General features: G+C 40.8%; 2 long non-coding RNA genes across 4 annotated transcripts in view; both read right to left on the minus strand.

The window, feature by feature from the left end:
• LINC01581 (long intergenic non-protein coding RNA 1581) overlaps positions 1-15613 on the minus strand; it is a 202536-nt gene that overhangs the window by 150515 nt on the left and 36408 nt on the right. The gene's annotated exons all lie outside the window — the stretch shown is intronic.
• The window catches only part of LOC105369203 (uncharacterized), a 35447-nt gene continuing 27906 nt past the window's right edge, over positions 8073-15613 (minus strand). The window contains exons 2-4 of one of the 3 annotated variants that reach the window (XR_002957694.2): positions 14607-14730; positions 10852-11011; positions 8073-9375 (exon numbers count right to left, since the gene is read on the minus strand). This is a non-coding gene — a long non-coding RNA (uncharacterized LOC105369203). Of the gene's footprint in view, positions 9376-10851; positions 11012-14606; positions 14965-15613 lie in introns of those variants that run through there. The other 2 variants (XR_243236.5, XR_932631.3) reach the window with 2 other exon arrangements.

The following is a 15613-nucleotide window of genomic DNA, read 5'->3' on the forward strand; positions in this document are numbered from 1 at the left end:
ACTATTTCTTTACATAGATACAGAATGTCATTTTTTTGCAGAGTATGTTTTAGGATTAACAGATATCATGATTCACACATTTATCAAAAAGAATTGTCTTATTCCCACTGAAGTTCAGCAACAAAATGAGCAACCGATGTGCTTTATTTTTCTTTTAAAGGGCATATGATATAATGAATTCTATAAAGAACTCGAGCAAAATTGCATCACCCAGGATTTGAGAATATATATTTGACTGATACAAATAACACCATTTGAAGACAGGAGGATTGTGTAGAAAAATGTAAAAATGCACAGCCAGCCTTTGTTAAGAGCTGTGAGTGTCAATGTATTTGGGACTTTAGGTTTGGAAATTTGACTTCCAACACCAACCAGACTGAAGATAGCACCACTCTTTCTAGACTGAATCTTGGAGAAATGAGTTTCCCAGAACCTCTGATGCCCACCATCAGAAAAGGGGAATCCCAACAGCCATTGCAATTTGACATTATTATAAATGAGACCTTAGTTCCTGTGAAAATGCCATTAAAGCTTTGCTTTCAGTTTGTCTTGTTTTAGTCTGTTCTGTTTTGACTTACCATTTTTGTGGTTGGTTTTATTTGTTTTTTCACCAGTTGTGGTCATTTCTCCAAGAGGTTTCAATGAAGTTTCTTATGATTATTTCAACATACCATGTCTGCTTCTATTCTGAGTTTATTTACACAAAGTGGCTAACAGTAAAATATAATTTGCTAAAAGGGATTTGCATAGTTTTTATAGAGCTTCAAAGAGGAGATAGTCTAAAAAGGCAGATACCTACGTTCAACTTTTGCCCTGCCATCCTTGAGGGTGTTAGGATAAAGCCCCTGATTCTGGATATTGGCCTCTGAGTTAAAATAAAAAGTCCAAGCATGCATTTCCACATTCATGTTCATTCATGCAGCTCCCAGAGGAGAGAGGGATAATTTCTTTCAACATATATCACTAATGATTCTGGGTGACATTTATAGTTACTGTTTTTTGATCTAAACATGAACATCTATGTTGAAATCTATTTGACAACTATTGACCACATTTTCATTGTGTCGACTTCTGTGCCAGGCATTGGGAATAAAACAATAAGACAGGTGTTGTTTTTTTTTTTCCCTTGAGGAGTTCAGAATTCAAAGAAGAGTATAAGCAAGTAAAATTACACTTAGACTATAATGGCCTCAGTGATACCTAAATGTGGGCACAAGTTACTGTAAAAGCAAAAATCAGATGGTCTCTGATGAAACAAGTGTGAGAGAGTAAGAAGAATTTCAGAAGAGTCTATATGAATAAGCAAGTGCTTATCAGGTAGAGAAGGAGAAGACATGTGATCAAGGAAAGCATCATGTGCAAATATACAGAGGTAAGACAGTACACAGTACAAACAGGCACCTCCATAACTCCACAGAATTGGACAGAAGGTAAGAGGCATGTGGACAAGCACTGAGAAATGATATCTGACAAGGGGGGCAGGGCTCGTAGAGAAGTAGGTGCTAGAAAGAGTCCTGCTATGTAAGACTCCATGCAGGACTCAAATAAAGTACACATTACTGTGTATGAGCAATTCAAACATGCCTAGGCAATTTACCCATGTCTAAGCATATCTGAAAGTCTGGTCAGTGGATCTGCCAGGAATACATTCATTCAAGAACTGGGATAGAGAAACATTGAGGGCAACCCTTTCAAAGGGAAGAAGCAGCTTGGCAGGAAGGGATCAGCTTCAGACCTGAGTTGCTGGAGGGAATTAGTGATTCTGAATACAATGTGATTTCTGGTAGATTAATACGTCATTAGTCTGGCCTTGAGGATCCATATTGGATCATGGAATGGGAGAGAATGGTAGTAAGAGGATGATGGAGCAGTGCAAAAAGTAAAACCTGATAATGATGTTTTATTTAATTGTTGAGGCATAAATTGTCCTACTTAGAACCCTCTCTAAACACAAGGGGAGCCATTCTCCTGCTTTTCTTCTACTTGGCCACAGTGCGTGGGACACACTGGCATGCTGAGGTGTGGGGCATTGGTGGTGCTGCCCATGAGGATAGCAGTGACAGCATCAGGAAGGTGCTAGAGTCTTTTGCAGCAGGGGCAACGGTGGGCAGGAGGATGCCATTGAAGCCTGGGCATAGACTTGATCCTAAGCTCAGGTGAACCACCTCATGGGATTACACAGAAATACATGGTTGAAAGGAGTTTTACACTAGATGCAGTCTGGTGAATGCAGGTAGAGTCACAATCCAGTTCAATGTTAACATGCCTCATCTGGACTTACATGTAAAGCCAGATAAACCTCTGATCTTGGGGTTGTGATACATCCGTCCATGTATTCCTTGAGCTGATGCTAGTGCCAAGTACTTGGTAGGTACTCAATAAATACATATTAAATTGAGTTCGATTTACTTTGCAATTTACTGCAATGAAATATTAATCCAATATGAACTGGCAAAGGCTCAGAATTCTGTATTTTAGATTGAATTACAATTTGTAAGCTGCTTTCTTGCAAGTTGAAAAAAGTAGTAGCCCAAGAAACTGCCACATCACTTCTCCCTCCAAGGATGTGTTACACTATGCTGAATTCATCTTTCTGTGACCCTATTTGAATTCAGTAACTAGTGGTATTCTTTTGTTTTTGTTTTTAAGAGACCGCGTCTTGCTCTGTCACTCAGGCTGGAGTGCAGTGGTGCGATCATGGCTCACTGCAGCTTTAAACTCCTGGTTCAAACGATGCTCCACCTTAGCTGCCAAGTAGCTGAGACTATAGGCATGTGGCACTACACCTAGTGAACTTTTGTTTTTTATTTTTTGTAGAGATGGAATCTCATTATGTTGCCCAGGTTGGTCTCAAATTCTTGGGTCTTCCAAAACACTGGGAAATATCCTTTCAATGTTTCTTCCCAAATCAGTCAATGACACACCGGACTATTTGGCACAAGAATCAGAAGTCTCCTCCAAAGCCTCTGTAGGAGAAACAGTATCCATGTGCCTTCCTCACTCTGGGTCTCAAATGCCCTCAGCAAATTTCAGCACAAACTTTCCAGTAAGATATCGAATTCACCCCCAAACCCAGAATAAAACAGTCAACACTTGCAAACAAACAAGATGTGCCTAGGTTTAACCTAATAAAGGTAGAGCCTCTTTGATTCAAACCTGCTCATAAAGTGGTAAGAAATCGATGAGGAGGAATCCGACAAACCAGCTAATAGTCTGAATAAGCTCTCCAGATGTGCTGCATTTTTTAGGCTCACCCCAGACTGTCATCAATGTTTCAACATTTAATGTTTGACTTCCTGCTTTCTTCTTGCCTGCCACAGAAGTTGAACTAAAGTTCCCCTCTTCAAAGACAATATCACACACATTTTTTTTTCTTTGTACTCTGATCCATGAGCATCTTAAGTAAGGTCTCCTTCACAGGTTGCAAGTCAATATCACAGAGGGGAAGCTGACATGTGAGTGCTGTCATATGTCAATCATTACCTTGCATTTCACACTGTGAGGTATGCATTGACTATTTTTACTTTGCTGCATTTCCTTCCTAAACTTCTCTGGTAAAGGGAGAGGGCACTTCTCTAAATACAAGGAATTTAAAAAGCGAAGGGGCTCTTTGCAAAGGGAATTACAAAATTTCCCCACACTATCACCAATGACTTCCTACTCCTTTCTGAGACACCCCAGCATCTCTGTCCACAAAAGCTACACTGTTACCCAGCAACATCTTTATCCCCTTCATGAATCTCAAACTTCTTCCAGGATTTCGTTCCCAAAGTGTTCATCTATCAGCAGCACTGCAGTGAGAATGAGAAAATAATTTGCAAATTGTGAGAGCTGAATCATGCCATAATGGAATTGACAGGGTAGGAGTAATTGAGGGGAAAAAAATGCTTTTTAAGAGATGTCACCAATTTTACTTTCATATTTTCCAGCTCTGAAGTTTCAGTGGGTCATGGTACGCAATGAGGAAGCCAAAAGTTTCACTGGCAATACTGGTTTCTCTCTGTTTCTGGAATAACTTATGCATCTTTTGCCTTAGTTATCAGTGGATGGTGTTTATATGACCTGATCACAAAGTCTAGGAACGCATACAGCTTGAACTTTAAAAAGATAAATTTGTCCCCACGGCATATACTATAGACCTTAGTCAGCTGATCAGTTCTACAAAGCATACCTTTGTAAATGGTACATAAGATACTATTAGGTTGGTGCAAATGTAATTGGAGTTTTTGCCATGAAAAGTGCCTCTTGTGGTATCAGATGGGACAGCTTGATTGTGGCCAGGAGATCCACCTTAGATGTCTCATGCACGTGGCAAGTTAGTGCTGGCTGTCACCTGGGTGCTTTGTTGGGGCTGTCACCCTGTGTCTAGATTTCCCCCCAAATAGCCTCTCAATATGGCAATGTGGGCTTCTCTCAGCACGGTGGCTGGGTTCTGAGAGAGAGAGACTGTTCCAAGAGCCAGCAATCCATAAAAACATGACACAATGTGCAAACACTTATCAAGCTCCAGCTTACTTTATATTAGTGCTAAAGTTTGGGTGTTTGTCCCTCCAAACCTCATGTTGACATTTGATCTCAGTGTTGGAGGTAGGAGCCTCATGGGAGGTGATTGACTCACGGAGACAGATCCTTCATGAATGGTTTCGTGTCATCCTGGAGGTAGTGAGTGAGTTCTCACTCTTTTAATTTTCACAAGAGCCAGTTGTTAAAAAGAGCCTGGCACCTCCCAACGCTCTCTCTTGCTTCCTCTTTGCTATAAAATCTCTGCACATGCTGGCTCCTGCTCAACTTCCACCATTACTGGAAGTTTCCTGAAGCCCTCACTGGAAGCAGATGCTGGCCCCATCCTTCTTAGGAAGCCTGCAGAGCCATGAGCCAAATAAACCTCTTTCCTTTATAAATTACCCAGCCTCAGGTACTAAATGGACTAAGACAATTAACATTACACAAAGCTAATAGTATGACCACGCCCTGAGCCAATGCAGAAGGAAACTACACAGGAATGTGGATATCAGAAGATGTGGTTCACTGGGTTCCACTAAAGTAGCAATCTATCACCAGAAGCATACTGACTTTGATCTGAACAGGGGCTCTGACTAGGGGCTTCCTTTGTAAACTTGAGAAAGTTTCTTGTCCTCTCTTCTCCTGTCTTTCCCATTCTGGAAAATAAGATTAACAAAATCTACCTCACATCTTTGATTAATTACTATAATTTCCATATTTATGTGGGATTATGGTGTTTCTCTCTTTAAGAATCAGGTTAGTCAGAATGAATTCCTAATAAAAGGCATCATGGCTTGATGACTGTGTAATCCAAAGACACAGGGGCTGAGTCAGAGTGGCCACATCAACCTCTGACCCGGAGAACCCTGAGGTAACTGACTTTGAACTTTCTCAGGAAGAAAAACCGAGAAAGTTTTGAAAACACTTTCCAGGGTATTGACATAGAAGACTGACAACGTGAGAGTGCCAGGACTGAATGCAAAGATTATAATCTTAGGAGTAGACAAAAATTAAATGTATAATAAATCTCACTCACACCTGCTGAGTGAATGCATCTCCTTAGTAAGTCAGTTGCTGCTAGCCTCCGTTTCTTCAATTCAAAAGTGAGATGTTGGGAATGCTTATGAAATGACCAGTGACCAAAAATAAAATCAAAATCCCAAAAGTTGCCAAATTGCCTGTATCTTCATTGTCTCGTTGTCTTTGGTTTAGGATTGCAGCACATCTGTCCCATGCTCTGCTTTGGAATCAATCCCAAGTTCTATCCAGATCACGTAGTGCTCTGGGCACTTTCCTCTCTAAATTCAGGTTTCTTCCTGTAAAATGTGTAAGATGCTTAAATTCACTATGGAGTATTTTATACACTATTCAGTGTTTTATAAGTGAATGAGAATTTTTAATATTATCATTATTATCGGTGATAGCATATAGATTCATGTATGGGAAAAAAGAGTGGAAAATAAAAAGCAGCGGCTTAATAATTTCCTGTCATTCTAAGATATGGTTTAGATCTGTGAACCTGTCCAGATCTCAGGCAGAATTGTAATCCCCAGTGTTGGAGGTGGGGCCTTGTGGGAGGTGATTGGACGATGGGGCAGTTTCTAATGGTTTGGCACCCCCTCCCCTTGGTACCATATAGTGGGGGAGTTTTTGTGAGAACTGGTCATTTAAAAGTGTGTAGCATCTCCCCTGCCCCTCTTCTTCCTGCTCTGGCCATGTAAGACATGTCTGCCTCTCCTTCACCTTCCACCATGATTGAAAGCTTCCTGAGGTCTCTCCAGCAGCCACCATGCTTCCTGTACAACCTGAGGAGCCGTGAGCCAATTAAACCTTTTGTCTTTACAAATTACCTGGTCTCAGATACTTCTTTATAGCAATGTGAGAATGAACTAATTCACCCTGTTAGTCTAAGAGTCAACAGTTTTAACCAACATGACAACTCCACAGAGGTGGGCTCCCCACACTTTCTCTTGTTCTGTCAACCTGATATGTAGCTTTGCTCTCATAGTTTGAGGTGACTGGCCCAGATTCCACGATGGTACATGCATTCCTGTCAGTGAGAAGTAGAAAGGGAAAGGTGAAAACAGGCCCAGAAATTGTTCACATCCCCCCTGTATGCGCTTCCGTGGCTACAACGTAAGGATGTGGCCAAACTAAGCTTCAAAAGAGGTTGGAAAAATGCAATTTCAGCAGGTGTCTACCTGACTAGCTAAAACCCAAAACTTCTATTACTAAAGAAAAAATGAAGTATGAATATGAAAGACAACCTTTAGACTGTTACTCATGATCTATCATTGAATCTCTACTTTTCTGAATATTATTTTATTGATCTCTTGAGAGACACTTTTACATGCCAGAAACCTCCTTCAAAGAAAGAGTAGAATACTTTGCCTTAGATACAATTAAATTCTAAAATTTTGTTACAGTTTATTAAGGAAGCACACTTGCTCTACTTAGGTAGTATGTATTTTAAAGTTTTCTCAATGAGAAAGTCCTACATTTTAATAAACTGAAGAAGGTGTTTTGTGGGATAGGGGGTGGAAGGAGAGGTTGCAGAGAAAATAGCTTACTACAGGAGTTGACAGGCTTCATTGTAAAGGGCCAGATAGTAAATATTTTAGGCTTCAAGTGATATTCCTTCTCTGACGCAACTACTTGACTCTGTCATTGTAGTATAAAAGCAGCCATAGATGACACATAAATGGATATTATTGAGCTCCTTAAAACTTTATTGACGGACTGGGATGGTGGCTCATGCCTGTAATCCCAGCACTTTGAGAGGCCGAGGCGGGCAGATCACAAGGTCAAGAGATCGCGACCATCCTGGCCAACATGGTGAAACCCCATCTCTACAAAAAATACAAAAATTAGCTGGCTGTGGTGGTGGAGCTTATAGTCCTAGCTACTTGGAAGGCTGAGGCAGGAGAATCGCTTGAACCCAGGAGGTGGAGGTTTCAGTGAGCCGAGATCATGCCACTGCACTCCAGCCTGGCCGACTCCATCTCAAAACAAACAAACCAACCAACAAACAAAAACCTTTATTGACAAACACAGGCGGTAGAGCAGGTTGAGTTCATGGGCTGTAGTTTGTCTACCTCTGGTTTATTAGCTGCAAAGCTTAATGTTCAACAGCAAGGAAAAGATCTGTCTCCCCTTAGAATCAAATTATTGAGGGAAACTCTCTGAGAGTTACCATTGTGATATATAAATTTATCTCTGATTGCATTGACTGACCCATTAGAGCAAAGAGAATACCTGGTACACAGTGACCATTGTAACCTAGGTCACTTAGTCATTGACTGCAAATGAATAAAAATATCGTAATTCTTAGTATCCAAGATAAACTAGCTGTATACTTGGATCACACAATTTATAATCATAAAATTTAGAGGTAGAAGAGATGATGTTTCAGATATCCCCAGAACTTGCAACTTCTGTTACTCAATTACTTATCTATGAAATTGGGGATTTGAATATATTTAATTATCAATAAAGTTTCTTCCAGTTTTAGACTTTTTTGGATTCATTGTAAAATTTAGTACTATAAATTCCTTGAGAAGATGAGTTCATTCACTCACCTAACAAATATTTATTAGACAATTACAAAGGCTTAGGCATTGTTAATTTTTTTGATGTAACAGCCATGGAATAACATTGAACAGATTTTTGGTCTCATGAAGCTTCTATCCTAATAGGAGAGAGAAGGAAGGAAGGAAGAAAGGAAGGAAGGAAGGGAGGGAGGAAGGAAGGGAGGGAGGGAAAAGAAGGAAGGACGAAGGAAAGTAGGATGGAAAGACAGAAAAAAGAAAGAAGGAAGGAGAAAGAGAGAAGAAGAAATCAGATAGTAATAAGTGCTATGCAAAGAATTAAAATAGGGTGTATGAAGTCAGAGAAAGTCTATTTAAGGAGATTACATTTAAACCTCTAGATGTAAATAACACACAGGAGTTTGTTTTTTGTTTCATTTTTTATTTTTTGCAGTTCAAGTGATGCTAAGAAGGAAGATCATCATAGGCAAAGGGACCAGCTAACAGCAAGGACCTGGGCAAGTTCAAGAAGCAGAAAATGTTCCAAAGGAAATGTGATATAGTTGGTGGGACAAGAGTGGCGCCAAAGGAGGCTGGAAATGCAGGTTACAACCAGTTAACAGAGAAGCTTGTAATCCATGGTAAAGAGTTTAGACTCTATTTTAAACCCAACAGAAAATCACTAGGGGAGTTTTAAGCAGGGAGCGTATTGAGTAGACCGAGGAACAAATGATAAAAATAGAAAAAAAAATAGTGTCTTCAAACTGTTTTACACAGTTTAGGGCATTTGCTACAGTACAGAAATAATTCCAGAAGAAAATGTTGCCATAAGAAAAAAATTAAGGTAAAAGGCATTGACATAATGGTTGGGCACTGAGGAACCTGATAACAGAGAGGAGAAAGATGGAGATTCATGCTATACATTGCGAAACATTTGGTAAAAAGGTCTACTGACCTTTGGGCCAGTTGGTTGGAAAAATTTATGCATTAGTTACTACTGGCTGCCTTTCATAAAGTATTACAAGAAAGAGATGAGCTCAGGCAAGAATTGGCCATTTGCAAGCAGAGGCCTGTTTATAAAAAGAACTGAGAGATCACAGACCTTTCAGGGTTGGATAAGCCAGCTGACTTGAAATGGGGTTGAAAGCTTCCATCTAGGCCTGACCAACAGGTTTGTACAACAGTTAGCAATCCTGGGCTTTGCCTGGGCTTTGTGTAAGAAGACAAGGCGGAGCTGGATATTGGCTGACCAAAAAGGTGGACTGTGTCAGAGACTAGGTAGTTGCTTGCCAAAGCAGTTTTCTCTTCATTCTTAGACTCTCTTGCAGTTTGGTGTGAAGTTTAGCTGTAAAATGTAATAAAAAAGTGAGTCACCTCTAAAACTGTCCATGGGACACTCCCATGGATGATCCTCCGTGTTCTCTTGAGCACTAATTGGGACAGGAATGGTGATCTTGGAAACGATATGTTCAAGATGGTAGAACAACAGCTATAGAACTCAGGTCCCTGAAACGCCACAGGGAGAAGAGCCCCAGCTGATCAGGGATACCCATTTTCAATTTGAAATGAGTGAGAAATACACTTTTATTGTGTGTGATTGTGTTACAGCCATCATATATTTGGGGGGTTTTTACATCTTTACCTTACCTGGAATTTCCTTCATTAACACATGGGATGTGGAGCAGGTTGGGGAAGGGGCAGAAGTCTTTGTGCCGTTTTCCTTTGTGTTTTTTCATGGTAAGTTCTAGATCTCAGACAAGCATAAAGCCACATAAGCACTTGCCATGTCTAAGTGCAGGGTTCCAGGAGGACATCAGGGGTGAAAATTTGGAAGTCACTGGAACCTAGATGATATTTACACCCATGGGACAAGTTTATAGTTAAGAGAACGTAGCCCAGGGCTAATCCAGGAGCAGTCACCACTTAGGAGTCAGAAAAAAAGAAGGAGCCAGAGGAAAAAAAAAAGGTGGGGGGGTGGGGGGCAGGAAGCACCGTCCAGGGAGGGAGGAGGAAAATCAGGAGTGAGTGACATTACCAAAGGTGAATCTCGCCTAAATACAAATTCCTGTTGAGGTTTCCAAAATACACATCACCCGAGGGGTCTCTCTGAGAGGTAACCCCTGGGATAGAATGTCAAAGTTTATTTCCACAGAAATCCACTGTAAAGGAAACCTCCATCTCAGTAGACCGCACACCTGTGTTTTCTGAAGTCCTTCTCTCAAGGGGATAGTGAGTCAGAAAATTTGAATTTAATGCTTCATTTTGCAATCTCCTGAGTACCAATGGGGCTACATAAACAACCTTTTCCTGTAACCTCAGACCATACATCCAGTTCTCACTCACTCTTGTCACCCACACACGCTGACAGGTTTCCTCCCACTACAGGTTTGAATGAAAAAGCAGGTGAGCAGGAGAAAAGCGCAGAGGTCCCCACTATGAGAATTTCACAGGCAAAGCACTCAGTCTTACATATTTGCAAAGAGGACACAACAGAAATGAAATAATCATGCTCATATTTTCTTCACATTCAAAGGATGCTGCTCAAAGGGCAGCTACTTTCTGTAGTTAGGGACTACAAAGGCCAGGCCAGAGCACAGAGACACAAGAGAACTTTCTGGATGATTTCAACCTGGGTTGTGGGTCATTTTTCAGAAAGTGTCTGGGCAATAATGTATTCATTGTTGGAGGAATAACATTTCCCTGAATGAAGATGATCCTTTAACTACTTATTTTACCATGTTAAGTGTCAGTCTAAGTAGCTGTAACAAACAGCCTTCAAAATTCAGTGGACTAAATAAAATAGTTTATTTTTCTCTCTCACCTTTATCTAAGAGTTTGCCAGTGAGTCATCTTTCCAGGCTGATGGAGTAGCTCTTTTATCCTAAATCTTTCATATCAGAATCCAAGGTGGGTAGTCTGATTCTCTTCATTTCTTCACCAAAAGGAAATGAAAAGGAGAAAAAGTGGACAACAAGTAGTATCTTTAAAGGAAATTACATTAAAATTAGACACGTCACTTCTGCTCACGTTCCATTGGCAAGAACTCAATCATACTTCTAGCTGCAAGGGAGGCTGTGAAATGTTAGTTCAGCCTGAAAGTCAAGTGCTCTGATAAAAGTCACATGTTGTTTATAGGACGAAGCTTCTATTATAAAAAGGTCAGGACAATGGATTCTGGGGGGAAATTAACAGCCTATGACATGATATCCAAAACAAGATCTGAGGTATAGAGTCACAAAGTGGACTGCAAGATGAGGATTGCTTTTAGACTTCCATTCTCCCAACCTCAAGCTCCAGGCTGTCATCTTCTAACTTCTTTTCTCTTGTCAGGCTGCCTATGGTAGTCTTTTGAAATTGACCTTAACGGTATAAACATATTTAGGGAAACCCATGATTTGTGTTAACCCTGAAAGTCCCTGCATCTCAGGCTTATGAGAGAAACAAAAATATAGCTTGCTTTATGTGAGACACTCTGTTCAAGGGATGAAGACGTTTGTGGGAGTTGATCTAATCAGCAGAACAAAGTCTAACTGTCAAAGAAGAAACAAGTGAACCTTACACTTCAGTGTTCTCACACTGGCCCCTTCCTAGGCTCTAGGAGAAGCCATAGGAATGTGGTCAGAGGGTCTTGTCAGTGTTTAAATGTGTCAATATGAGGAAAATTCATTTTAGTTGTTTAAGACTATCATATCTTTGTGGCGGCAAGCCTGTGGGGGCGGGGGGCGGGGGCGGGGGGCGGTCTTGATTGTTTTAGTCTTTCCAAATGTCATCTCCAGGATGAAGCAGTTTTTTCTCTGCACCATAGCAGTCAGTGTCTGCTTCTTATGCTGTGAATGTGCTTGTCTTTCTCTCCCAGTGGTAAGCTACCAGAGGGCAGATGGGGATTTTCTTATTTGTTTTTTAATACTTGCAGATTTGATAGTGTCTGATACTGAGTAGGTGCTTGCTCATAAACATCCAACAGCATAGCTCCCAGAATAGGATCTGAGACTTCATACAGCACTCAAGTCTTCATTTTCATTTTTTGTTGAATTTCACTTAAATATTCACTTTCCCCCACCAACTGGTTGACTTAAAACCTCGAATGTCTATTACTACATATAAGAGGCAGAATATTGGCCCCAAAGCAGTCTACATCTCAATGCCTGGAACCTAGGAATGTGTTCCCTTACATGACAAAGGACTGCAGGTAGAATTAAGACTGCTGTAGTTGACCTTCATATAAGAAAATTATCTTGGGTCATACCAGTAGGCCCAGTGTGCGAAGCTGAAAGAGCCAACCCCTCAAGATGGATCCTGAGTGGCTAGCTGGGCCTGAATTTAAAATGGAGCCAAGCAGCCAATTGCTGACTAGAGGTCACCCACATACTCTGGCTCCTGAAGAAACCACATGCTCTTGTAACTTTGGGACTTTTATACCTGTCTGTTCCTGTTTATGCCACCTCAATCAATGGCAGCCAGAAAGCCCCATCTCATCACTTGGACCTAAATAATAGACTGTGACCTGCTTCGACCAATCAGAACAAAACAAGCTTCAACCAATCTGAACTAAACAAGCTTGCATCCCTCATTTGCATGGTGGACCAGAGTGGAAACCTGGGTGGGAACTTTCTCTGTAAAATTCAACCCCTCTTTTTATTCTCTCAGAACACACTTTGGTTTTATGTGGAAGGCTGCATCTCCTCATAAGCAAACTGCTTGATGAAATAAAGCCTCTTTCTTTTTTAAGAAAAATCCTTTTCGGTGTATATTGAATATGTTCCCTTCTATGACAAAGAGGATTTAAGGTTGCAGGTGGAATTAAGAGTGCTATTTTGCTGACCTTAACATAGAAAGATTATCCTGAATTATCCCAGTAGACCCAGTGTAATCACAAGGATACCTAAAGTGAAAGAGGAAATCAGAAAAAAGGCCCAGAGAGATGGCAGCATGGAAAAATGACTGCACCCAAAATTGCTAATTTTGAGGATGGAGGAAGGGGCCACAAGCCAAGGAATACAGACAGCTTCTTAAAACTGGGAAAGTCAAGGAAACAGATTATCCCCAAGAGCCTCCAAAAGGGACACAGCTCTGCTGACACTTTAATTTTAGCCCAGTGAGACCTATTTTGAAACTGACCTCTGTAACTGTTAGATAGTAAATTAGTGCTGTGTTAAGCCACTACATTTGTGTAATTTGTTACATCAGCAGTAGGAAACTAATATGATAAGCCTATGTAATATAAGTTCTTATTCAACTATGAATCGTACCTCAGAGTATGGCATTTATTGGAATCAGTTTTGAAAATACTTTTGAAATTAGTATAAGGGAAATAACTCTTAGTTTACCGGACAGTTTTCCCTTTGAGAGAAGCCTGGGCCTGCTCATAATTCAGTAGGCTTTGAATCCAGCAAGAACCCCCAAAGAGTTTTGCCTAACTCAATGAGAGAAAAAAGCCCCAATGGGTTGTAAGACTCAGCTAAATAACCTAAATAATCAAGTGCTCATTTGATGTCTTTCACTTTGTAAGCTTCCACTTGCTAATACTGCCTTGGGTTTGGTGTGTTGAGTATTTACATCCTCAGAAAGTCAAAACATCAGGAAAATAACATTTTCTAAGCTTGATATCCTGGATATTAATCAATGACAATAGATCTTTGGAGATGTGTACACTAACAAAATCTCTTCCCAAAGTCAAAAATCTTATTTAAGAGTGGGTCATTATATAAATAGTTTCTTGAAAAATTTCTACCTTGGGATATACATCTTCATTGTACCATGCCATTCAAAACAATAGTAGATAAGTTATCACAGCTTTTTAAAAAAAGTGTGTGTAGGGTAATTTTTTAGCTATTGAAAGGATGAATTTAGGAAGATTTTCTCTTACACTTGAGTGGGTTGCCTTTGCTCTTTCCACAGTCGTCTCTAAGGGTTTTAACAAAAGCAATAAGAAAAAGACTGATAAGACTGGCATCTAAGGAAGATCTCTCGGCCTTCTAATGAGAGGATATATCAAAAAGAGTGAGACAAAAAACAAGCAGAGTTAAAAGGTTGTAAAAACAGCCGCAGTAGCTACCAAGACGGGATACCCACGCCCTGGCACACTTTGCTGTCTCCAAGGAAACGGAACTATTTCCTGATCTCGACACACACTTATTGTGCATATTGTCTTTCATTGTATTAGACTGAAAGCTTTTCATGGATAAGATAATAAGCCTGATTTACCTACATTTCTATTTTATGTGCCAAAGTTACTACGAATGTGAGCAATACTACTGATCTCGGTTTTATTTTAAAGTGATTAGTATTTGCAGATTTGTGTCAATTTACATATTTATGGGGATGGTCATTTCAATCCTTTGGCTAGCCTGGAAATCCAAAGTAGAGTGGCAGATAAGAAAGGAAAGAACAGGAGAAAAAAAAAAGTAAACAAACGAACAAGGTTTTACTCAATTCTTCAGTCTTCCCAAGCCCTTTGGTTTTCCCACCTCTCTCCTGCACAGTTAGTAATACTTGACATTTATAGAGCTGCTTTCCAAACAAAGACCCCGGAAGGTTTAATGCACTGTGCTAGCAGGCAGAAGGGGAATGACTCACCCGCCGGGTGCAGGGCGCCACCTCTAGTGTAGAATGCGGCAGCTGGGACACAGCTGGTGGGTAATGAGTGCCCGGCGATGGCTCAGAACAGGAAGTGAAAAAGAAATCCAGGGTCTGGTGAAAGCTTCAAGGGAAACAGGAGGCAGCAGCGTGAAACACACCGGCATGTTGCTGCGGTGTCAGTCCCGCAAAACATTCAGACCCCCTTCTCAAGGGCAGAGGGAGGCATTTTCCAGCCTAGCGTAGCAAAGCATCGGTGGTCAGGAACTGGGTCTTCCTAATCAGCCCTGCCAAGTTGGAAGAGCGGCAGCTTAAAGAGATGGGAGCGCCATCCCTTGAAATGGCGGAAACAGGAAGCGGAGATGCCTCTGCTGTGGGGGACCGTGCCTTGGGTGGTGGGAACAGAAAAGAGGGACTGTCTTCCCACTGTACCTCAGTGTGCAGTATTGTACCCAGCAGATGAGGACAAAAACCATCACTTTTCACTTAAGGGTTTAAAATTAACCTTTGGTCAGTTCCAAATATTTTAAAGATTAGTTTCCTGGAGAGTTTGTCTCATGCCTGGAGGATTGAAACACTCTTTTCAATTTGTTCACTTTTGACATTTTTAGTGCATCTCCTTAAATTATATCCAGGCATGGAAATAAATGAGGATGAAGGCTCCAGGGCTTTCTGGTTTTGTTGCTATTCTTAGCAAAAGGTTTGAAGAAAATAAAGGGGCAAAATACTTCTGGTTCATCTGGGCCTGTGGAGCCCTTTGTGCTGATGCAAAGTTAATAGTAACTGTGATAAAATCGCTACAAATATGATAAATGTGAAGCCAACAAGAAGTCAAGAGTCACTGCTCTGAGATGACAGGCTCGGAGCAGGGTATGTGATGGAATGAAGTTTAAGCTCAGCTTAGGGATCTTTTCTTGAAGAGAGAGCAAATAAGGTTTCAGCGTGCATGCCATGTTAAGAAGGATTCTGAGACCACAGCTAACAGACTCAGCCCAAAGAACGACATG

Source organism: Homo sapiens, chromosome 15, assembly GCF_000001405.40.
Source record: "Homo sapiens chromosome 15, GRCh38.p14 Primary Assembly".
Classification (NCBI taxonomy): domain Eukaryota; kingdom Metazoa; phylum Chordata; class Mammalia; order Primates; family Hominidae; genus Homo; species Homo sapiens.